Source organism: Homo sapiens, chromosome X (genome assembly GCF_000001405.40).
Source record: "Homo sapiens chromosome X, GRCh38.p14 Primary Assembly".
NCBI classification, from domain to species: Eukaryota; Metazoa; Chordata; class Mammalia; order Primates; family Hominidae; genus Homo; species Homo sapiens.
In genome coordinates, this window is record NC_000023.11 from 46670374 (window position 1) to 46696267 (window position 25894).

Genomic DNA, 25894 nt, shown 5'->3' on the forward strand with positions numbered 1-25894 from the left:
ACCAAGTTAAATTTTTCAGCTTGGTGGAAGCACATTTCCTACAGGACAGCTTACAAATTGGGAGGAGTGAGGAGTGTGAAAAGGTCTAGTACATGTTACAAGGGTATCTGTGCGTGCATGTGTGTGTGTGTGTCTGTGTGTGTGCGTGTGGTGGCAGCAGCAGTGATAGCAGCAGCTGCAGGGGTTAGAGGAGTAAAAATAACCATGGACTTGACTCATTATACCCTACAGCCAATGCTCTAATAATGAGATTCTTGATGCCATTGCCCACCTTTGTGTCTCAAATGCTTAGAAGGGTGGACTAGCTAAGCTAGAAGCAAAAGAACTATTCACAGAATGGAATCATTTTGAGAAGAAACAGCTATAACTTAATGCTTGCCTATTGTGTGCCAGACACTGTTCTAGACACTTAACCAGCTCAATTTCTTTTCACAGGAATTGTATGTTACAGATTTGATTTGCCCTTTGTTGCTTATCAAAGGCTTCTTTCATGTACCCTTTAAACATTCCTGGAACAAGACCTTCCTCTCCATTTCCTTCCACCAGTCTGTGACCTAAACAATAGACTTCTCCGGCAGCCTTTTCCCCATTTTGCTTCCTATCATCACTAATGCCAGTTATGTAAAGTGTCATTCTTCAATAATATGTATCTCTTAAAGGATAAGTCAAAGCCCCTCCTTTTTTGATGGCACAAAAGGCCCCTGCTATTATCTCCAGGTTTCTAGCTAATTGTTAAAAAATTAATAAAAATCCTAACTTTATTCAGATTTTCTTAGTTTTTAACCTAATGTCCTTTTTCTGTTCCAGGATCTTATCCGGGATACCACATGGCGTTTAGTCATCCAATCCCTTTAGTCTCCTCATGACTGTGACAGTTTCTTAGACTTTGCTCATTTTGTTTTTTTGAGACAGAGTCTCACTCTGTCGCCCAGGCTGGAGTGCAATGGCGCAATCTCGGCTCACTGCAAGCTCCGCCTCCCGGGTTCATGCTATTCTCCTGCCTCAGCCTCCTGAGTAGCTGGGACTACAGGCGCCCGCCACCACTCCCGGCTAATTTTTTTTTTTTTTTGGATTTTTAGTAGAGACGGGGTTTCACCATGTTAGCCAGGATGGTCTCGATCTCCAGACCTTGTGATCTGCCCGCCTCGGCCTCCCAAAGTGCTGGGATTACAGGCGTGAGCCACTTCGCCCTGCCAGACTTTGCTCATTTTTGATGACCTTGGCAGATTTAAGGAGTACTGCTCAGATATTTTGTAGAATATCCTTCGACTAGGATTTGTCTGATTTTTTTTCTCATGGTTAGACTGAGGTAATGTGGTTTTAAGTGAACAACCAGAGAGGTAGAGTATCCTTCTCATCACAAATATCAAGGTACATACTATCAACGTGACTTACCACTGCTGATGTTGACCTTGATCACCTGGGTGAGGTAGTATTTGTCAGGTTTCTCCACTGTAAAGCTACTCTTTTTTCCTGCTTTCTGTACTGTACTCTTCAGAAAGAAGTCACTACGCACAGCCCACAGTCAAAGAGGGAGTGGGAGGGGACTGAGCTCCACCTCCTTGAGGGGGGATGTATCTACATAAAGTATTTGGAATTCTTCTGCACAGGAGATTTGTCTCTTTCCCCCATTTATTTATTCATCCAATCACTTACTTATATCCATATGGACTCAGTGATACTTACTTTATGCTCTTGGGGATAATCTAATGCAATGTTATTTGTTTTGTCGTTCTTCAGCCATTGTGGGGCGGCTTTGACCATTACAGGGGCTTTCAGGTTGGCTCTTGTGTCCCTTTGACATCCCCCACATTCTTTTGTCTGTCTGTTTTCTGAGTACTTCCTTACTTTCTGGCATTACAAGATACTCCCTTTTCATCTTGTATATTTCCTGCCCCAGCCCTAGAATTAGCCATTTCTGCAAGGGGCTCTGGTTGTTTTTATCAAAGAATGATAACAGAAACCAAGATCTGGGTGCTGGGTATAATTTTATTTCATGTAAATTGATCTTAATTTAAATAGCCACACGTGGCTAATAGCTACCATACTGAACGGTGTAACTCTTGATCCTGACTGCCATCATCAAAAATATCAAAATACTGGACTCTGTGGACCCAAATGGATCTCATCCCTATGGAACGTGTGTTAATTTGGTTATATGACAAAGGTTCACTTACCCAATAATGAAGCATGAAACAGCAGTCCCCAAGAAGGCATAGGCCAGTATAGATCCAAGATTTCTGAAAAAGTGTCTCTGAATAAAACAAACAAACAAAACCCAGGAATCACATTGTGATTTTCAACAATGAGCTTAAGAAACACATTAAAAGTCTCTAAAAAGTGGAACTCTACTTACTGTTTCCATTACATCAAGTAACAACTGAAGTTACTCCTATATGGTGTTATTTAACCTTAGACATCATGGTTTTAAGTTATCTTCTATACAGCCAGGTACTGAGCAAGTAAGCAAGGACTTAGTAAATTTTCAGACAAAACTGCTCTGGATGATTACATTAAATCACATTAAGTGTGTGTATATGTTGTGCGTGTGTGTGTGAGTAGACCAATCATTTTTACAGATTTAACCCAAACCATTTTACTCAGTGATACAGCACGTCACTTCCAGTTCTGGTGGTACCTCAGAAGATCATCACAGATAGAAGTTTAAAACAAATAAAGTGTGAAGGTGCTATGTCATGAGCTTTCTGCTTAATTTGATATCAGAAAACAGAGTCCTAAATATCTGCTCATGGAACCTGAAGCGTCTCCTTATATTCATCTAGATTAATGTCTGAAGCCTGGGAAAGAGGGACAATAGAGATGGATGTGGAGAAATGAGAAACAGATAGTTCCATTTAAGATGGCCAAGTTTATACAAGAAGAAACACATATCAATATCACAGCTAGAAATTATTCAGAAAGTGGCAAAACTGCAATCCTTTCAATGCTTCTGCACATTCATTGGTTACCTTAAAAATATAAACACACACACACACACACACACACACACGGATTTACTTGTTTTACCATGTTGTCTTGGAAGGATTTACTTCTTACAAGTCATTAGGCCTGTGGGATATTTTGACGGAGGAAATTCTGCCTGTTCTTGGGATCCTAAGACACAGTTCTGCCTCCTCAAGGCATAAGCCATTCTCATTTGACAATCAGAACTATTTAACAAAAACAGACAAAAATCTCCCAACACTCTGATCAAACAAGGGCCAGGAATACTTTACCTAAAATTTTTTTAAAAGGCAGGAGAGCCCCAGCATGTCAGCTGAGCAACATCAGAAAAAAACAGGGTGCAGGAAGAAGAACCCAGCCTAGATCAGGCAGCTACCATGAAGCATGACCAGACAAAGGGCTGCAGGCGTCCTCTGGTCTGCATCCCAGACACAGGGCCTTCCCAGTGCTTGCCCCTATCTGAGTCAGTGAAGAAGGTGTTAAGGAATGCCTGCTGCCCCTAAGCCACCTGCTCAGGAGAGAATCCTTCAAGGGCTTGCCATGCTGACAGGCACCGAATGAGGGTGCTGCCTGTACATAAGATGGACACATTATGTTTGCCTCTTAAATAACCGCCTTTTTGTTTTTAATCGAATGCATTTATACACCAATGTTTTGAGAAAATATATATTTCCAAAAAATCAACAGCTGTGAGTCTGCTTCCCTTTAAAATCTCCATAAAGGGCTTCAATCAGGGAGGGCTAGGAGTGTACCAAGAACAAGGCATGAGATGAATGAACTTGTGAGGTATCCAAGAACAAATTTCAATCCCAGATGTGCTTTTCCTTGCCACTCAGCTTTCCTTTGGGTAGATATTCCCATGGTAACTCTGAATATAAATTAGATAAATACATATTCATGACATTAGCCAAAGCAAAAAAATTAGGAATGTAAATCTGCAGCCAAAAATACTTTCATAATATATTCTAAAATCACACACACACTATTACCCATCTCCCGTTCATATCTGCTGATGTGAGCTGAAACTTAACTGTATTTTGAAAAGCTATACTACCTATTTGTGTATTATGTCTAGTACTTAAACGTATACTTCATAGTTCACAAAGTGTTTTCACATATATTAGCCCATCCAATTCTCACAATGATCTATCTGGAAGGTGTTATTTGGACCATCATATACGAGAGAACCCAAGGCTCAAAGGCATGATGTAAGCTGTTTCAAGTCACACGTCCGCCAAACCAAGCCACAGACTGGAAAGCTGGTCTCCTGACCCCAAAGCATCATGCTCTCACTGCGCAAGCTGCCCTGCTACCCAGCTCTTCGATTCCCACTTCTCTTTGGGAAAGAAAGGACAGGAGGTGTCCGGTAAAATCCTAGATCTTTCATCCCACCCTTATTTGGTTACAATACAGCCATGACTAGTTCAGAATCTCCCTTACTTTTCCTCCTCAATTATAAAATGACAAGAAGAGACAAAAGGAGATGATGGCATGCCCTGGCAAAGTCTTCAAAAATATAAGCCCAAGACAGGCCAGGATGAGAAGTTTTGCTTTGGTGAAAATCTACCTGATATCCCAATTCCTAGCTGTACCATTCTAAGCCTCACACTGCTACTCCTTGGGAAATCCTATCCCCTCCCATTCCTCACTGGCAAGTTTTAACATGTTATTGTATATGTGTGTGTGAGTGAGGGAGAGAGAGAGAGAAAGAGAGAGAGAGTGAATGTGTGTGTGTGTGTGTGTGTGTGTGTGTGTGTGTGTGTGTGTGTGTGTGTGTGTGTGTTTGGTGGGGGAGTCCACCAATAACGGCTTCTATGGGTGAATTATTTCCCTGCCAAGGCCCTCTAAGCAAACCATGAGTGGTAGCACAAAATCAAAGCTAAATCCAATGAGAACTTTTTCAAGTCAGAAAGCCCAGGTCTGCATGATAGCTATATGATGTGAATAGGCCAGAGGGTCTGAATGTTATACCATCCGTTAAATGGTGAAGTATTTATTACACATTTCACTGACAACAGGTTTCATCAGAGATGGCAACCATATTAAGGACCAACTATTTAGGTGCTTTTATAGGGACAATTTAAAAAGGAAAGAGACTAAACTAATAGTTCATAACCTGAAAGACTAGCTGTGATATTATGATGTGTATGTACTGATTTTCATCTACAATTCCTGGCTCATAAACTCCCATAGCTCTTGTTACAGTCTTTTGTTGTAATGCTGGGCACTTTAGGCCTCAGAAGCAGGTAGCAAAAAAATAGAATCCCTCTGACCTTCTCTTGCCCTCCTTTCATCTGCTCCTTTTTTGTCCCAAGGCAGGGCATAGAAACTAAAAATATACTCTAATTTTCTCCTGCCTTTTTGAAGTAGGTCATAAGACCCTCATTTCAGAAGGGATCCTGCCCCACACTGGGGAGGAAGGAATGCCACACAGAGAGGCCAAGAAGAATCTGAACACACAGGCCTTGCTGGGTTTCCCCACTCAGTCTATCAGCATTACATCACATCCCTTTTGTCCAATCACTTTTCTACATGGTTGTCAATCACGCCTATGCAATGAAACCTCTGTAAAAGGTTCAAAAGGATGGGGTTCCGAGAGCTTCCAAACAGCTGAATACATGGAGGTTCCTGGACGGTGGTGTCCCGGGAGGGCATGGAAGTTCCGTGCCCCTTTCTCCACACCTTGCCTTATGCATCTCTTCATCTGTATCCTTTGTAATATCTTTTATAATAAACTGGTAAATATGAGTGTTTCCCTGAGTTCTGTGAGCCACTATAGCAATGTAATGAAACTCAAAGAGGGGGTCGTGGGAACCCCAACTTGAAGCCAGGCAGTCAGAAGTCCCAGACTTGTGACAGGTGTCTGAGGTGGGGCGGGGGGGCAGTATTGCGGGACTGAGCCTTCCGTGGGATCTGGCATTATCTCCAGGTAGATAGTGTCAGAACTGATCTGGAGGACACTCAGCTGGTGTCCGCTGCAGAATTCATTGCTTGTTTGCTGGTGGGGAGAAATCCCTCCCACATTTAATCACAGAAGTCTTCTGTGTTGTTACTGTAGTGTGAGAGCAGAGAAAAACCAATTTGTGAGTTTTTTCCCACTCAGGCTAGCATCTCAAAAACAAATTGATTGGGAACTGGCAAAGCCTGTGAGGTGTTTTTCTTTTGAGAAAATGGTGCTGATAAAGGGAAGGTTCTGCAAAAACTAAAATGTCTTTCAACCATCATAGTGGCTTTCACAACCCATGATTTGGTTTCATTTTAAAACAACTATAACTGATTATACATTAAGATTAGTTATGTAAAATATCAAATTACTCATCACCCATTTGATCTGAAGAAGAGTTCCCAAATTCTCCACTTACGTAAAAAATAACGTTATTTATACCCATAATAACCATCTCCTATCTACTACATGTCAATAGATGACATACAAATTCGGATGACCCTGGCAACCCCAGAGTAGTCAGGAAAACAATATAGTCTTTTTTGTACAGAAAACCTAAATCCAGAGGCAATAAGGCACAAAAGAACAACTCTGGGCCCTGGAGTCAGACAGAGAGGGTATCACCTTGACTCAGTCCCGCGTTATCTACGTAACCTCATATGCATCATTAATCATTCTGAGCTGAGATTCATCATCAGTAAAACACAGGACACTCTACATGTGAGTACACAAATGCACTGGGCTGGCGTGCAGAAACACACAGCCTCCGTTCCTCAAGCACCTATTATGCAGACAGAACTTATGTTCCATTCCTCTCCCCCTTCCCCTCCTGCCCTGAAGGTTATGCAGTAAGGAGGGGTCACTTGATCTCTGAAAGAGGAAGTGAGTTTGACCCTGACTTGTAGTCTTGACCCTGTTGTGCAAGGTGGGGAATTGTTCTTGCTCCTCTAGCCTCCATGCTATGAGCGAAAGAGGCAGCTTTGCGCAGGCCCAACAATTTCTAGGATCTCTCCATTTCAGCCTCCTTAGGTGTAACTGTGACTGACCTGGTGGCTAAAGGGTACCTGTCCTCAATTCATGAGGTAGGTTGTAAGCAGCCCCATTACTAAAGGCTAAGTGACATACTCCAACATGCATTTACCAGGGACTTAGGATCATAAATCAATCATTTAATCACAAGTTAACTCCTTGTATCTGTTTATCGATGAGTTGGAAACCTGGAGGAGAAGCAGTGTGAACTAATCTTCAATCACCATCACCTTCTTACAGAGTTTCTGTGAAGATTAGAAAGAATGGATGTAAAAACAGAAATAAAGAATATCCGTTCCTAATACACAGCAAATGCTCTGTAAACTATATTTATGTTGGCTGGAAATTGTTTAAAAATCATCTGAAAAGTGCAGAGTGGCTTTGATAGAAAACCCAGCCTGATGGGCCGGCATCCTCTCATAAAATGAATTGGGATGTGTTCCCTCTTCTATTTTCTGAAAGAATTTGTATAAGATTGGTATTATTTCTTCCATAAATGCTTGATATAATTCACCAGTAAAGCCATATGGGTGTGTGGAAAGGTTTTTCATTATAAACTCAATTTCTTTAATATAGGTCTGTTCAAGCTTTCCATCTCAGGTCAGTTTTGATAATTTATGTCTTTCAAGGAATTTGTCCATTTCACCTGGGTTGCCAGATTTATTTTTCTTTTTTTGAGTTGTTTTTCACGGCAAGATCTCATCATGATGTTGTCAAACTTATTGGCACAAAAATTGTTCATAGTATTCCCTTATTATCCTTTTAATATCTGAAGGGTCTGTAGTAAAGTCCCTTCTTTTATTCCTAATACAGGTAATTTGTTTCTTTCCTCCCTTTTTCTCAACTGACCTAGCTAGAGTTTATCAGTTTCAGAGGCATTCTCTAGATCCTAAGGATGTTGTTGAGTTTTATTGTCAGGCAAAATCTCTCTTCTCTAGACTCACTGAAAGGGTTTCCTTTAGTCCTCATTCAGAAAGAGAGCTGAAACAAGTTCCACAGCTGTTACCTGCCTTTGAGGAGGCTTAATTTTCAGACAATATTACCACAATGGGAGAGGGAGGGAGCCATCCATAAATATTTGTAAAGATATCTGGCATTTGTTTTTATTTATTTATTTATTTATTTATTTATTTATTTATTTTTAGAGACCGGGTCTTGCTCTGTGGCCCAGACTGGAGTACAGAGACACAATCAAGGCTCACTGCGGCCTCAAACTCCTAGGCTCAAGCTCCCCACCTCAGACTCCTCCAAGAGTAACTAGGACCACAGGCATGTACCACCATGCCCAGCTAATTTTTTTGCTTTTTGTAGAGGCAGGGTCTTGCTATGTTGCCCAGGCTGGTATTTAGTATTTTAAATAACTAGAAGCTCTGGCCCAACCTTGCTGTCTAGCACGATGACCCTCAGTAATAAGGATACTTAGGTTCTTTAAAACTTTTTATTTTGGAATAATTATAGATTCACATAAGTTGCAAAGATTAAGTACAGAGAGGTCTCATGTAGCCTTCACCCAGTTTCCCCCAATGGTTACATCTTACATAACTATGGTACAATATCAAAACCAAGAAACTAGCATTATATGTATTATGTGTGTGCATAGTTCCCTATCATTTAATCAAATGTGTAGATTTGCATAACTACCACCACAATCAAAATACACAACTGTTCCATCACCCTGAAGATGTCCCTCATGCTACCCCTTTATAAGCACCCCCACCCCAATGCCCCCACCATCCCTATTCACTGGCAACCACTAATTTGTTTCCCATTTTATAATTTTGTCATTTCTACAATGTTATATAAATGAAATCACAGAGTATACAACCTTTTGAGATTGGATTTTTTTCACTCGGCATAATGCCTTTGAGATTCATAAAGGTTGTTGGGTGTATCAATAGGTTGTTCTGTTTTATTGTTGAGTAATACTCTACAACATGGATATACCATAGTTTGTTTAACCATTCACCTATTACAGAACATTTTGGTTGTTTCCAGTGTTTGTCTATTACAACTTGGTATGAACGATCATGTGTAGGTTTTTACGTGAACATAAGTTTTCACTCCTCTGGGATAAATCCTTAGGAGTGAAACTGTGGGTCATATGGCAATTTCAACTTTAGTTTTATTAGAAACTGCCAACTTGTTTTCCAGAGTGGCTGTACCATTTTACCTTCCCACTGGCAATGTATGGGAGTTCCAGATTTTAAAACAGAAATGAATCATTGATGAGAAGTCAACTATAGTCTCTGAGTGGGTGCAGAACAAAGTAATAAGCAATCTGGGAGAAGAAAAATAACTAGAAAATTATGCAGGTAAATTAACACAGAGATTCACATGATTTCAGAAATACTGGCAAAAACATCTTACCTTCTTTAAGCTGTATCCAGCATGAAAAATAATTGGAGGCAGAAGAATGTTGAAAAATACTTCTGGATCGAATGTTACCTGAAAGTTTAAAAAGAAAAAAAAGCCAATTTTTTATTTAACTCCAATTCATGCTATAATATCTGCTTAATATTTGAAGCCATTGACTAAAGTTTGAATATTTAGAGCAAACAACATAAATGTGAAAAATCATGGACTTATCCCAGAGGAGAAGCTATGACTCCCCATGGACTGGCATGCTCTTCTCCCCATAACACTTTTGCTCTTATGATCTTGCTTGTGCTGTTTTAAAACATAATAAGACACAACAGTTTCATGCAATTTTGAGAACTCACAGAAAGCTTCTGGCCAGTGTTTTTCATAAAAACATCTTGGCCAGGCACGGTGGCTCATGCCTGTAATCCTAGCACTTTGGGAGGCCGAGGCGGGTGGATCACAAGGTCAGGAGTTCGAGACCAGCCTGGCCAATATGGTGAAACCCCATCTCTACTAAAAATACAAAAATTAGCCAGGTGTGGTGACAGATGCCTGTAATCCCAGCTACTTGGGAGGCTGAGGCAGGAGAATCGCTTGAACCCAGGAGGCGGAGGTTGCAGTGAGCTGAGATCGCACCACTGCACTCCAGCCTGAGCAACAGAGCGAGACTCCATCTCAAAAAAAAAAAAAAAAATCTTGATTTTCATCACACGTTTATAAAGACTCAACTGCAGTAAAAGATGCCGTCGTGATTCTTTATTAACTTCCTGGATCCCCTCACAGAATCCTTTATAGACAAAATTGTGCTGAATTTAAGTCTCTTTTGAGTGACCAGCCTTCTGTGACACTTGATGTAGCCTAAATCAAAGTCACCAGTGATGTTAGTGGCTCCTGAACATCAGCATAAATTGGGCAACTTTAAAGGAACTGAAATTTCTTGTAGGTTTGATACAGGGAAATTAATCAAATTACTCTGAAACTTTTAGAGAACAAAGTTTTATCATATCCAGAAAAAAATTAAGCATGCTATAAACATGCTAATCTTTTTAAAGAATTTGTTCACGCTGGTAGATTATTTGGCTTGTGTTTCAATTATTTTTAAACCTTCATTCTAGTTATTAAATGTTAACTTATTTGTTTAGAAACTGGAGGTGTTAATCAGCCTAATAAAAGTAGGTTCTTTCAAATGATGCTTTATTCTCTCTTCTTGTTAAAGATAAGAGTGTTCTGCAAAGCAGGGAATGTCAGAATGAGAAGGAGCCTTGGACAGTACCTACCCAATATGAGGACACTGGGCCCAAAGGCAGTGAAAATTGCTGGATGCCACCAAACCCAATAATGTACAAACTAGCACAAGGGTTTTCTGACACTCAGTCCAATGCTCTTCTTATCAACCAAGCTATGTCAACATGTCTCTTTTCCCTCAACTAGCAACAATCATCCTGGCCTTGTTTGTTCTCCCACCTTTGCTTTGTGCAGCAAAATTTTAAACAGAGGGGATTTAAATAAACAGGTTTCTAAAGATAAGAGAGCAAAAGTCAGCTTCATCTTCTATTATGACCTGAAAGATGGAAATGTGTTGGTATCATTTCCCTTTTCCCCCATCTTATCCAATATGAAGGGCTCAAGCTGCCATTTCCAAACAGCCATTAAGTGTGGTATTTACATTGGATTTCATTCTCAGTTGCGCTGAATTTCAGAATGTTTATGAAAACCCCATGCTTTCTTATGAAGAGTTGAGAGCAAAGAGTGCTGCCATTAGGGACACAGAAAAGATGGTCATGTTTAATGCTCCAGGTAGAGAATAATTTTCCTTAAGGATTAGGGTAGATTCCAAAAACAACAATAATTTAATTTCTGGAGCACAGGCTACACTCTGCCTTTCACTGTCAGCCTTCACATACCTTAGCCTTGTGCTGTATTAAAATGGGCTCCCCACAACCTGGATCTCCCAAGACCGCTATACAGAAGGCTTCCTTCTGATAAACCCTGGTCTATAAGGTAATGGAGTATACATCAATTAATACAGATCTCTTGCTTATCCTGGAAATTACCCATGCAAGATGTATAATGCTTTTTCATGTGGACTATGTTGCTACCCCAACATTAAATGAAAATGCTTGGACTCAAATTCTAAGACAACAAGATCTTCTTCTTCCCCTGAAGATTCATTAAGCCTCTGGCATCAATCACTGATAAGAGTAAGCACTCAAATATTTGTAGGATATAGCAAAAGAACCACGAAGAACTAAGAATTACCCTTCTGAATACTGAATAAATTAAGCTAAAAGTGAAATCAATCTTATTTTAAGAAAGTAGCAATATCATCCCTAAACCACAGGAAGGATAAGAGACATAGCAAAGAGGAGATGGTGGCTGGATAAATGAGCTGAGTGGGGACGTACAAATCCATTGCACAATCAGTGGCCCATTTCAGCTACAGATGCTAACAGACCCACAAAGGTCACCAGCTGAAAGGCTCAAGTTGAAGATCTGGTTCTTCCTTCTCCTCATCATGGACCAAAAAGCTTTGTAACAAAACAGAGAGCCAGGAATGTTACGGATAATCCAGGAGTTTGGAAGGATTTCTCTCCACAAGGTCAAGACAAGTCAGGGAATCAACAACCATGTCAGGACAAGGATGGCTGAGTGTCCCCAGCTCACCTTCCGTAGCATATCATTCTGCTCTACGCTGTTGATCTTGCCAGGACTGATTTCTCCTTTCAGAGTGTATTCGAAGAACTTTCCGCTGACATTCACTAATAAGGTACTGAAGGCCCTGTCTTCCTGAGTGCAGCTGAGTGATTTGTCACGGCCACTGGTAGCAGGGGTACCATACCTCAGGATCACCCCAACGATGAGCCCTGAAAGAGTGGAAAAAAACTCATCAGGCCTGAGGAAGGATAGAGAAAGTGTGGAAATAATGGCATAGTTGACTTTCAACAACTAAGAAATGCAGCAGTAATCTTAGAAACTGGGCATGGGGTATGTATTTTAGGAGAAACTGCATGGGCCTTCAGGATTGAAAGGGTTAAGCATCCATCTATTCTGGTCCGATTTAAGTTGCTCGGCCACCAGGAGGACAAGGTGGGACAGTACCTTCAGTGGTATTATGACACTGTGAGCACTTTTTTGTTTTTTGAGTGGAGTCTCGCTCTCTCACCCAGGCTGGAGTGCAGTGGCGTGATCTGGGCTCACTGCAACCTCCGCTTCCCAGGTTCAAGCAATTCTCCTGCCTCAGCCTCCCAAGTAGCTGGGACTACAGGCACCCACCACTACACCCGGCTAATTTTTTTTTTTTTTTTTTTTTTGTATTTTTAGTAGAGACAAGGTTTCACTATGTTGGCCAGGCTGGTCTCGAACTCCTGACCTCAAGTGATCTGCTGGCTTCAGCTTCCCAAAGTGCTGGGATTACAGGTGTGAGCCACCACATCCAGCCAGCCCTGTGACCACTTTTAACACCTGAGCATGTCTCATTTCTCAGGCTTCTAGTGGAGGAAGATGGGATGACAAGCAGCAAAGATTTTTCTGGCCAGGACAGCACAAAGCAGAACTGCTGAGCTCTTTCATTTCACTCAGCAGCATCCCTCAAGCCAGTCCTGTTGCCATGTGCCAGCAAGGACCAGCCCACTGGAATTTCCAGTTGCTATAAATGTAACTTGCTTTGCCACACATCAGAGGAAAGGGGAGAAAAAAGAAATTCTTTTGCTTAGGTCATTTGAAACACTGGTATCATGGAGAAGGTAATTACACCCCTTGGGAAGTGAAACACTGCAGTGTACATTTGAGGAGTCAGGATTCAGGGGCTGGAGAGCTGGCTTCTTGGGGCTGTAGCTATGAGATGGCTAAGATCATCAGCTACAAGTATGTAAGTCTCATACCCTTCTTAGTAGGGCTCTCCCATTAGGAAAAATAAAAACAGCAAGATCATGTATAAGCATTCAATTCTGTGAATAAGGAAGGAGTGTGGCTCCCTGGACCTGAACACGAGTCAGACATGCCCAAGTAAAAGTGAGTGAAAGATTAAAAAACAAAAACAAAAAACCAGCCATAAATCACTATCAGACACTTTCTATAATTCTCTAGAAGGAAAATTTCAGACTTCTCTCTAAATTCAGTTCTTTGCTGGCAATATTAAAAGACAGAATGATATATTTGCTTCCTCATCTCATTTTGCCATTAATGGAGAAAGTTGCTGAGAAAAAGAACGATGTTTACTGTCTTCCATGTGTAATGTTCTATAATGTCTCTTATCACCAAGATATATAAGAACTCACAAGACATTGTTGAATAGCAAATAAAATATAAAATCTAGAAAAATATAGTTCTTTGAGCCAAAATCTGCATCTGTGTTGTGTTATTATAATTATTATAGACCCATATTAACAGATACTTGCAGTTTGTTGACTTGTAATAAAACAACTTGATTTTTTTTACAACTTAAAAATGAGTTTCTTAATAATCTCAATCTGACCAGATACGAAACAATTTGAAAACCTTTAAAGGCATATAAGAAAAACCAGACCTTTTATTTTATTTTATTTGTTTTTTGAGACAGAGTCTCACTTTGTCACCCAGGCTGGAGTGCAGTGGTGCAATCTCGGCTTGCTGCAACCTCCGCCTCCCAGGTTCAAGCAATTCTCCTGCCTCAGCCTCCCGAGTAGCTGGGACTACAGGCATGCGCTATCACACCCAGCTAATTTTTGTATTTTTAGTAGAGACGGGGTTTCACCATGTTGGCTAGGCTGGTCTCGAACTATTGACCTCTGGTGATCCACCCACCTCGGCCTCCCAAAGTGCTGGGATTACAGGCGTGAGCCACCATGCCTGGCCCCAGACCTTTTAAAAAACATATTTAAAAAAACATATTTATCATTACCAAAAAGAGATGTCTGTAGGGAAAAGTAATGAAAGCTCCATAACTCAGATAGTGCTAGCTGTCTGGTAAATGGGCCAAAAGCAGTCACTTAAGGTCTTCAGAACCAATCTTTTGTTCAGGTCTTATTGCTGGAATTTATATTCATTTATTCCTGTAGGATGACAAACCAGATGACACTAGAAATGGTTGGCTGGCATTTACTCTGTCCTGCTCTGCTCAGCCTTGGCAACGGACTTCCTAGCTGTCAGTCTCTTTGCCATCTTGTGGTTCAGGGTTTTCTGGGTGTCTGTGCTGGTAACTGAAGTTGGGGGGTGCCTACAATGACATGGCTGCTGGCCTTGGGTGTTCATTACTGTTCTAGGTGAGGAGGGGCCCTGGAGATTCGTGGTCTGTAACCCCAATACGTAATCTGTCTCACTGACCTACCTCTTCTCCTTCACCCTGGTTGTCACCACCCTCCATCACTTGTCTCTGCACAGGAGGGTTAGAACACTCTGGTCAAGAATCATAGGGTCTCTGCAAGGGAGGAGGCATCTTCTGTGTGCTGTAAGGCCTGACGTTTAAGGGAACTCTCCAATCCTTCTTTTCCCCACTCTCATTGTTCTGGTAATTGTGCTGGTGACCGTGTGGAAGACCCCCATGATGCAGATAACATCTATAATGGCTTCAGTCTACTGCATCTGTACTGCCTGGCACTGGAACTCCACCAGGGCCTGCAATCTTTGCTGCCTGTGTACCGTTTTCTCCTTCAACATCGAACTCCACAGCTTCTCCATCCCCTGTACTGCCAGGGTGTTTCCTGGGGGTTATTCTTCTTTATGACAATCTGGCATACAAATACATCTCACCCAGTGTCATTCCTGTGGACGAAACCATATATATTTCTTACACTGAACCATCTTACTGTTCCCAAACTTTCACTGGGATAACCTTCTTGTCCTGTTTGCAGGCTGCCACTCCCTCTGCCTCTGCCCATGGTGTCATGCCAAGTGTCTCAGCCTCACTGCTCATGTTTGCGGTCACAGTAATGGTGACTGGGGCCAGCTGTGGCAGCAGTGGCCCCTTTGCAGGTGTGATGGTAATGAGATTGGTGGCAGTGGAGCTGTTCAGGGCTCTGGGGGGCTCTCTCTCCACTCTAGATGGAACTCTGTGATGCTTTTTAGTCTTATTTCACTCCCTGGTTAGACAGTTATTTTCTGACGAAGTTTTACATGGCAAAGACGACTCTAGCCCTTCAACACTCATCATAATACAGGATGATCTGCAGCATCTGGAGGCAGCTATTTGGAACATGATTTAACTTAAATTGTCATCAGGAAGCCAAAACAAGTCATTTACAGACTATCTTTCTCCTAAAAATCAGAACCTGCTTCATGTAACTCATTGTTTCTTGACTTTTCTAACCTCATTATTAGCAGAGCTAATGGAAAGACTGAAGCATACTAGCAAAGGTCCTCATGAATACTACTCTAACAAGAGAGGGTTTATATTTGTAGACAAATTCCTCAATTAGAGGAAACATTCTTCAACTCTCTTCCAGTAATCATCACTATCATATTTACAATCATCACCAGATGACGAATATTGCTTTTTAAAGTTGTAAAACCTTTTCTTCTCTACCCTGGGCCCAATGCGCTCATATTAAAGATGGAAGGGAGACAGCGAAGGTGGTGATGCTGCCCCCTTGTGGTTAAAATATGGCAACACAAAACACCACAGCAGAGATGTAAGGTTAACACCATCCTGACAGTTTTGACCAAAAATATACCAAGCCACAGGGTACACCACTAACTCAAGGTAGAGTTTGGGTACCTCCCCAGACATTTTAGATTCATATTTATTACCACTATATTCCATGGCATGATATTAAGTTCATATTTGGCGTTTTCCAGTTGAAGAAAGAATAGGATATTAGAACTGCAGGAAGGTAATTAGGTGAGAAAATGATAAAGACTTGGAGAAAACATGAACAGCATATTTTCATCTGCTGGATCTCGGAGACATCCTGACAGGGAACTGTGAAGTGGTCATAGCTACAAGGAATTAAAACATGCACTAGATTTTTTTTTGAAAGCTTCAGAAAGTTCAGTATTCATAAAAAATGATGGAGAGCAACAGAAGCACTAATGATTTGACCAGATTAACAGCCTAGTGTTCTAGATCACAAAGAGAAATAACCTACTGTGTGTTTGGGCCAGGGAAAATAGCACATAAAATGTCAGCTGATAAAGAGACAATCACTGATTTCGTAGGTACATTACTAATGAAAGAATTGTTTTGAACTTTTACAGAAAGCAAATATGGATGAAATTCCTTTGACATTTGATGTGGCTTAAAACAAGATGGTAAACTCCAAAGGGGCAAAAATTCGAGACTGTTTCAACTTGTGGATAGGAAAAAAACTCACTTCACAACTGTACTTGCATATATATAGTTTATGTATGTGCTTATCCAAAACTTGGTAGTATGATGAAGGAATATAATCATGAGAGCAACGTGTGGTTTAAAAATCCCACGGGTTCATTAAAGAAACCAGCTCCCATTGGTCTGGTGCCAGTTTTCCTTTTGTGGCTGAGGCTGTTGGGAGGAGAGCTGAACAAGTGGACATGGTGAGGTTTAATTCTAGACAGCCATCCATCAGCTACAATATTTAAATGTCTATGTTAATAAGCCTTTGTTACGGAGGAGAACAGGTACGTGGGTGCACTGTTCTTTAGTGAGACCTCATTTTTTCTTATGTAAGGTACTGAGGGTAGGTGATCACCTGATCAGTGTGGCCACCACTGTGGAGTTTTTTACAGCACAGTAGGGGTTGTTATGAGTTTTAAAGCTTCATCTGAAATTCCAAGAAAAGAAAGTATCTCATTTTGCATCCAGTTACACAGTGTTTGAAGATGGTGATAACTATTTCTAATTCAATGAATAAAGAGAATCCAATGGATTCCAGCAGTTGACAATGACTTTTCAGGTTTGGGGGTAATTTACATGACTTGGATTTTGAGAGTGAATATTACAGCCCTTTCAATACCTTGTTCTACTTGTTCTGCTACTTATGCAGCTGTGTTATTCGTTGATATATTAGTTTCAAGGAGAATTCATTCAAAATATTTTTGTTCCTTGTTTTGAATATGTGGTGAAACTAAAAAGCAATTTTATTAAGGTACAATTTACATACCATAAGATTCACCCATTTTAGAGTATACTATTCAATGATTTTTAGTATATTCACAGAGTTGCACAATCATCACTGCAATCTGATTTTGAAACATTTCCATCTGCAGTCACTTCCTGCTTCCTACTCCAATTCCCAGGCAACTACTAATCTACCTTCTGTACTATAGATTTGCCGTTTCTGGACTTTTAATATAAATGGTGTCATACAATATGTAGCCTCTTGTGTCTGGCTTCTTTCACTTAGTATGTTTTCAAGGTTTATCTATGTTGGAGGCATGTATCAGTACTTCATTCCTTTTTATTGCCAAATAGTATTCCACTGTACCAGTGTATCATATTTTATTTGTCCATTAACTAATCAATAAATATTTGAGTTGTTTCCCTTTTTTGTTAATGTGAATAACGCTGCTATGAACATTTGCATACAAGTCTGTGGACATGTTTTCATTTCCCTAGAGTAGATACCTAGGAGTGGAACTGCTGTGTCATATGATAAATCTATGTTTAATATTTTAGAAACTGCCAAACTACATTGGGAAAAATGTATTGTTTTACATTCTCGCCAGCAACACATGAGAGTTACAGTTTGTTGGCCGGGCGCAGTGGCTCACACCTGTAATCCCAGCACTTTGGGAGGCCGAGGCGGGCAGATCACCTGAGATCAGGAGCTCGAGACCAGCCTGACCAACATGGAGAAACCCCATCTCTACTAAAAATACAAAATTAGCTGGACGTTGTGGCACATGCCTGTAATCCTAGCTACTCAGGAGGCTGAGGCAGGAGAATCGCTTGAACCTGGGAGGTGGAGGTTACGGTGAGCCAAGATCGTGCCATTGCACTCTAGCCTGGGCAACAAGAGCGAAACTCCGCCTCAAAAAAAAAAAAAAAAAAAGAGTTATAGTTTGTTTACAGGCACAGCAGCACTTGTTATTGTCTTATGATCATACCTGTTTTAGAGAATGTTCAGAGGTATCTCATTGTAGTTTTAATGTGCATTTCCCTAATGCCTAAAGATGCTGAGCATCTTTTTATGTGCTTATAGGCCATTGTATATCTTCTTTGGTGAAATGTCTCGTCATTCAAATCTCTTGCCATATTTTAACTCAGGTTCTCTTATTGAATGGTAAAAAAAAAACCCAAACTTTTTGTTTTCTGGATAGAAGTCCCTTATTGAAAATACAATTTGAAAATATTTTCCCCAAATCTATGACCTATATTTTTCCTTTCTTTTTTAAAATTTCTCTGATGTTGTCTTAAAATTTTTTTTTTGCTTTATTGTTATACAATGAATTATTTTTTCTTTTGGTGTACAGTTCTATGAATTTTAACACACATATAGATTCATGTAAGCACCACTGCAACAAGGATACCAAATAGTTCTACCACTCCCCCAAAACTCTCTTGTACTATCTCTTCACACTGATACCTTCATCCTACATATTAACCCCAGCAACCACTGCTTTTTGTTTTGTTTTGTTTTGTTTTGTTTTTTCCATTAATACAGTTTTGTCTTTGCAAGGTTAAATACATGGAACCATGCAGTATGTAACCTTTTGAGACTGGCTTCTCTCACTCAGCGTAACACCTTTGAGGTTCATCCAAGTATTGTGTGAATTAACACTTCATCTCATTTTACTGCTAAGTTGTATTCCATTGTATAAACACTCACCTACTGAGGGATATCTGGCTTCTTTCCAGCTTTTGGCTGGCACAAATAAAGCTGCCATGAACACCCATGAACAAGTTTTTATATGAACATGTTTTCATTTCTCTAAGGTAAATACCCAGAGTGGGACTGCTCGGTCATATGTGCAGCATATCTTTAACTTTATGAGAAACTGCAAGCCATTTCTCAAAGTAATTATGCCTTTTTTTTTTTTCAGTTCTTTTTTTTTTTGTTTAAGTTCTGGGATACATGTGCAGAACGTGCAGGTTTGTTACATAGGTATACATGTGCCATGGTGGCTTGCTGCACCTATCAACACATCATCTAGGTGTTAAGCCCCGCATGCATTAGATATTTGTCTTAATGCTCTCCCTCCCCTTTCCCCCTACCCCCTGACAGGCCCTGGTGTGTGATGTTCCCCTCCTTCTGTCCATGTGTTCTCATTGTTCAACTCCCACTTACGAATGAGAACATGCGGTATTTGGTTTTCTGTTCCTGTGTTAGTCTGCTGAGAATGATGGCTTCCAGCTTCATCCATGTCCTTGCAAAGGACATGAACTCATTCTTTTTTATAGCTGCATAGTATTCCATTGTATATATGTGCCACATTTTCTTTATCCATTCTATCAAAGAAATACCATTTGACCCAGCAATCCCATTACTGGGTATATACCCAAAGGATTATAAATCATTCTACCATAAGGACACATGCACACGTATGTTTACTGCAGCACTATTTACAATAGCAAAGACTTGGAACCAACCCAAATGCCCAACTATACCATTTTTTAACCACTGTCCCCTACAGCATCATATGAGGGTTCTAGTTGCTCCACATCCTCATCCACATTTGGTATTGCCAATATCTCTCATTTTAGCCATTCTATTGTAATAGGTGTGTAGTGGTATTTCACCATACTTTAAATTTGCATTTCCCTAATGGCTAATGATGTTGAATATCTTTTTGTGTACTTATTGGCAATCCTAATACCCTCTTCAGAGAAATGTTTCTTCAAGTTATTTGCCCATTTTAAAAACTGGGTTGTTTTCTTATGGGTTCCTTATATATTCTGGGTTCCCTTATACATTTTGGGTTCCTTATATATTCTAGATACAAGTCCTTTGTCAGATATATGATTTGCAAATATTTTCTACCAGACTGTAGCTTGTCTTTCCAGCCTCTTGACATTGTCTTTGGCAGAGCAAAATTTTTTTACTCTGATAGATTAAATCTAATTTATCCATTTTATTTTATTGCTTGTGGCTCTGGTATCATATCTAAAAAACACTTGTCTAACCCAAAGTTATGAATATTTCTTATGTTTTTAAGTGTTTTATAGCCTTGATGCTTACATTTAGATCTCTGATACAATCTGAGTTAACTTAGTGTGTATGGTGTCAGGTTAAGGTCCAAATTCATCCTTTTGCATACGGGTATCTAATTGCTCCAGCACCATTTGTTAAAAATACGGTCTTTTCTCCAGTGAATTCTCTTGGTACCTTTGCTGAAAATCAACTGACCATAAACACAATGGTTTATTTCTGGAGCTGGTGGGAGAAATGGGAGCTGGTGGTCACTGCAGTCTATTCCACCTGCCTGTGATAAATCATCCAGAACATGGATCTGGCAGGGATGGGAGCAATCTTAAATGCCATAGACACCTACTATTCTTACCAAGATTCAGTAGATTTTCTTTAATAAATGTTCCTCAATTTAATTGACCTTTCATCAATTTACAGAGACTAAATAGTTATTTTTGACAACTTTGTCCAATTTTATTGCTGTGTTTTGGGAAGAAGATTTATTGAGCTCTCACACAGTCATTCCAGAAGTCCTCCCATGAGCATGAATAACAGAATTCCTACATGCTTGTTATCTTGCCATGTTTTATAAATGTATAAGAAGCAAAAATTTACTGAAAATGTTTGCTTTTGTATATTGTAGCAAATTAATTCTAAGGCATTATTTGTTGCTATTTACCAACTTTTCCTGATATATTTATTTTGTCTGGTAGTAATGAGGAAGCATAATGGAGAAGAATTTGGTAGATTCAGTGACAGAAGACCTGGGTAGGTAACTTCACTTTCCACCTAGCTACAATCCAGCACAAAGTACCTCTCTGCTGCTCATTTCTAAAATTGGGCTGTTGTAAGAATGTAGTGAGAACATGCATATGTCAAAACCCTTTATAAACTGTCAAAAGCTGTACAAATGCTGCTTTTTATGAGCCCTTTAGAATTAGTTATTTTCCTTTGCATCATCTCTTGCTATAAAAATAGTGCATATTGGGGATGGAGGTTAGGAAGACAAGTGATATGTGGGCTGGAGCAAAATAGAAAAAATATCTCTAGAAAAGTAGCTACAGAACTCACTGTTTTTGAAGTTGTCCTGTCCAGCAAAGGCACAGGACACCATAACTTCCTTATTTGTCCCTCTAGCAGCTTCCCAGGTGCCTGTAAAATGAGCACTTCTACAGCAATTTTACAGTTATATAGGGTTTTCACCAGAGGAAAATTTCAAGGGTAGGCATAATTGTCCTTGTATAAATGCTGATTTATTTAGAAGACTCTCCCAGGGATTTAGCAAAACACATAATGATAGTAATAAAACAGTATCATCATATAATGTATCATCATCAATCTTTGTGGCACTGTAGATTGGTAAACAGGCCAAAAAGTAAGCAACCTTACTCTATCAGTTTTCTTTTAATAAGAATTAAAAGACTGCAAGGAAGACAGGTTTCATGGAGCTAGCAACCTTACTATTAAAAATTCCCATTAAAATGGGAAATAAGTATCTGCCATATAATGGGCTAAACCTGAAGTGTGAGACACAAGCCACTGATTTTATTGCTCAATTTCTCTAATGCATTCAGGTCACTTAAAATCAGATGACCTGCATGGCACCATTAGGAAGATTTTTTTCAGAATTGCTTGAGATTCAGCATTGGCACTGAACCATCCGAATGAGATATGAAGCCCACCACAAACAGAACCACAGGTCCTGCCTGCTTGTCCAAGGAAAATCCCTCTGCTTGTGTTTCCTACATACCTAAGGCATGTCTACAGTTGCCCCACACTCATTTTATCCAGATCTCATGCCACTACAAAATGCCAATGTTGGAAGGGACAATACAAGTCCAATTATCCATCACATTTATAAAACACTCTGTTCAACAGCAGACAGGTCTTATACTGTGGTATTCAGAGTCATCTTGGGGAACCAATTAAAGTACAGGTGTCTAGAGTCTCTCCTGTAACTTCTCATCCTGTAGGTTTAGGGGGTGTTTGAGGTATTTTGATTTAAAGAAGTTCCATATCTGATTTCAATGCATGCTCAGAAATGAGAACGAATGGTCTCTAAGCTTCTTACCATGATATTATACAGCTCTTGTTTAAATACAGACAGTGAGGGGGCTCACCATCTTCCAGGTCTATCCTTTTTGCAGCAGGACAACACTGGCTCTCTAAACAGAGTCAAAGTTTGTCTCCCTGTAGCTTCTGCCCACTGGTCTCAGGCCCCTTTTATTATGACCACTGAGAAGCCATACTTCTCCAAGCTCTGGATTCCCACCTCACCAGAATTTTCTAAGTGCCAGTTGTATGAAAAAATCCAAATTGTACAAATACTCGTTCTGTGAAAAATGAATGACCAAAATGTAAGATTTATACACTGAAAATTACAAAACACTGCTGAGAAAAATGAAATGACCCAAATAAATGGAGAAACATCCCATATTCATAAATTAGAAGACTCAATATAGCTAACATGACAATGCTCCCCATATTGCTCTACAGACTTAATGCAATTCCTATCAAAATTCCAGCAAATTTTTTGGCAGAAATTGACAAGCTGAGCCTAAAACATACATGGAAATGCAAAACCACCAGAAGATCGCAAATTACCTTGAAAAATAACAAAGCTGGGTGAATTTCACTTCCACATTTCAAAACTCACTACAAAGATAGTGTGGTAGTGGTATAAGGATAGACACATAGCTCAATGGAGCAAAACTGAGAGTCCAAAAATAAAATGGTGTGTTTATGGTTAATTGATTTTCGATAAAGATGACAATGCAATTCAATTGAGGAAAGGACAATCTTTTCAACAAATGGTGCTGGGACAATTGGATATCTACATGCATAAAGATGAACTTAGACTCTGACCTCCTACTATATATAAAAATTAATACTATATATATAAAAATTAGTTCAAAATGGGTCAAAGACCTAAATCTATGAGGTTAAAATTATACAACCTTTAGGAAAAAAAAAGCCTAGGGGAAAAAATCTGTGAGTTCCTAGGTTAGGTAAATTTTTCACTGATATGATATGAAAAGCACAAACAATAAAATAAAAAATTGATAATTTAAATTTTATCAAAATTCAAAACTTTTGTGCTTCAAAAGACATTATTTGGGAAGCCAAGGTGGGAGGATCACTTGAGGCCAGGAGTTCAAGACCAGCCTGGGCAACACAGTGAGACCTCATCTCTACAAAAAAATTGCAACGTGGATGGAGCTGGAGGCCATTATCCTAAGCGAATTAAGGCAGGAACAGAAAAACAAATACCACATTTTCCCACTTATAAGTGGGAAATAAATGCTGAACACATACAGACATAAACATGAGAATAATAGATATGATGGACTACTTGGGTGGAAAGATGGGGAGTGGGTTGAAAAACTACCTATTGTGTACTATGCTCACTACCTGGGTGCAATATACTCATGTAACAAACCTACACATGTATCTTCTGTATCTAAAATAAAAGTCAAAATTAAAAAAAAAGAAGACTGAGGTGGGAGGACCACTTGAGCCCAGAAGTTTGAGGTTACAATGAGCTATGATCACACCACTGCACTCCAGCCTGTGTGACAGAGCAAGAACCTGTCTCTTAAAAAAAGAGAGAAAAAAAGACATTATTAAGAAAATGACGAGGAAAAAACTGCAGACACATATTTGATAAAGAACTTGTATCTAGGATATATAAATATATAACTCCATAATAAGATAATTCAATTTTAAAATGGGCAAAAGATTAGAATAGACATTTCACCAAAAGAAATTATGAATGACTAATAAGCACACGAAAAGATGGTCAACATTATAGATCATTCAGGAAATGCAGATTAAAACCATAATGAAATACCATTTCATGCCCACTAGAATGGCAATTATCAGAAATACAGATACTAACATATGTTGGAGAGCATGTGGCAAACCTAACCCTCATACGCTGCTGGTGGGAATGTATAATTGTGCAGCCACTTTGGAAAACAGTTTGCAGTTTCTTAAAAAGTTAAAAACAAACTTACCATACAACTCAGCAATTTACACTCTACCCTAGACTAGAATTGAAAACAGATGTCCACACAAAGATTTGCAGACAAATGTTCATACTAGCATTATTCATAACAGCAAAAAAATGAAAACAACTCAAATGTCCATCAACTGATGAATGGATAAACAAAATGTGGTCTATCCATACAGTAGAAAAAGGAACGAACTTGATACATGCTACAACATGGATGAACCTAAAAGATATTACACTAAGCATACATGCTCAGTGAAAGCCAGTCACAAAAATGCCACATATTGTATAATTCCATTTCTATGAAGTGTCTAGGACAGGTATATCTACAGAGATGGAAAGTAGATTCATGGTGGCCAGGGGCTAAGGCATGAAGGATCCTATTGGGATGATTAAGATATTCTGAAACTGAATTATCATGGTCACACAACTTTGTGATTTTACCAAAAATCACTGAAATTGTATACATGAGTGCATTTTATGATATGTAAATTATATGTCAATAAAGTTTTTTTTTAAAAAAAGAGCAAATGAGAAAATGAATCTAGAGATCGCATGTGCGATCCTTTTCCAGTACTAGTGTTCCATACTTTTCCAATAAGTATCTCTCAAAGTGAGAACTGAACTGATGTAAGACCAGCAGACAATATATTCTGTAGTGCAAGGGCTACACGCATGAATACCTATATGCAGATCAAATATGTAACACAAACGTAAATCCTTCAGGACCCTGGAAGAAACAGAGGGGAATATACAATGACTCTCAGGAAGTGATAGCAGGTTAACTATATAGGTGGTATATCTAAATGCAACTTTACTATTATTTTTTCCAATGGGAAACACAGCCTAAATGCCACCTCCTCCAAGAGGCCCTCCCTGACTCCCTAAGCTAGGCTAGGTTCCAAGGCTTTGTAGTCCCACTGCACTATGTGCTTCCTCTTTTGTAAACATGCCACACTTTGTTATAAACATCTGGACAGTTGGTCTGCCTAGCTGGTCCAACTGTCAGCTCCATGGAAGGTGGGGTGTGGGGGATCTGTTGAATTCCCCTCTGTATCCTTAGCACATGGAAGTGCCTGGCATACTAGGTACTCAAAACATATTTGCTCGCTGGCAATCAGATAGAGGCTGAACTACACTCAAACCTATATATTAAGAGTACCCACAATGAAATATATAACAAGAGTTGGTATCCCACTTTGGACATGAGAAAACATTTCTGACTTTAGAAAAATTTCTTTGAATCTCATTTCTCCAACTTTATATTTTTACTTATTTATTTATTTATTTATTTATTTATAGACAGAGTCTCACTCTCTTGCCCAAGCTGGAGTACAGTGGCGCAATCTCGGCTCACTGAAACCTCCACCTCCTGGGTTCAAGCGATCCTCCTGCCTCAGCCTCCTGAGTAGTTGGGATTACAGGCGCCCGCCACCACGGCCGGCTAATTTTTGTATTTTTAGTAGAGACAGGGTTTCTCCAAGTTGGCCAGGGTGGTCTTGAACTCCTGGCCTCAGGTGATCTGCCTGCCTCAGCCTCCCAAAGTGCTGGGATTACAGACGT

The 25894-nt window shown here is 39.7% G+C and overlaps 1 protein-coding gene and 1 pseudogene across 10 annotated transcripts in view; both read right to left on the reverse strand.

Annotated features, from left to right (window-relative positions):
• Positions 1 to 25894, reverse strand: part of SLC9A7 (solute carrier family 9 member A7) — a 159868-nt gene that overhangs the window by 71123 nt on the left and 62851 nt on the right. For all 10 annotated transcript variants that reach the window (XR_007068203.1, NM_032591.3, XM_017029905.2 and 7 more), the window contains exons 2-4: positions 11963 to 12162; positions 9305 to 9382; positions 2178 to 2254 (exon numbers count right to left, since the gene is read on the reverse strand). Coding sequence is in view for 9 of the 10 variants with exons in the window: in NM_032591.3 (NP_115980.1) it covers positions 2178 to 2254; positions 9305 to 9382; positions 11963 to 12162 (355 nt within the window). In the remaining variant the exon portion in view is untranslated. The remainder of the gene's footprint in view (positions 1 to 2177; positions 2255 to 9304; positions 9383 to 11962; positions 12163 to 25894) is intronic.
• On the reverse strand, positions 14415 to 15125 carry YBX1P8 (Y-box binding protein 1 pseudogene 8; annotated as a pseudogene).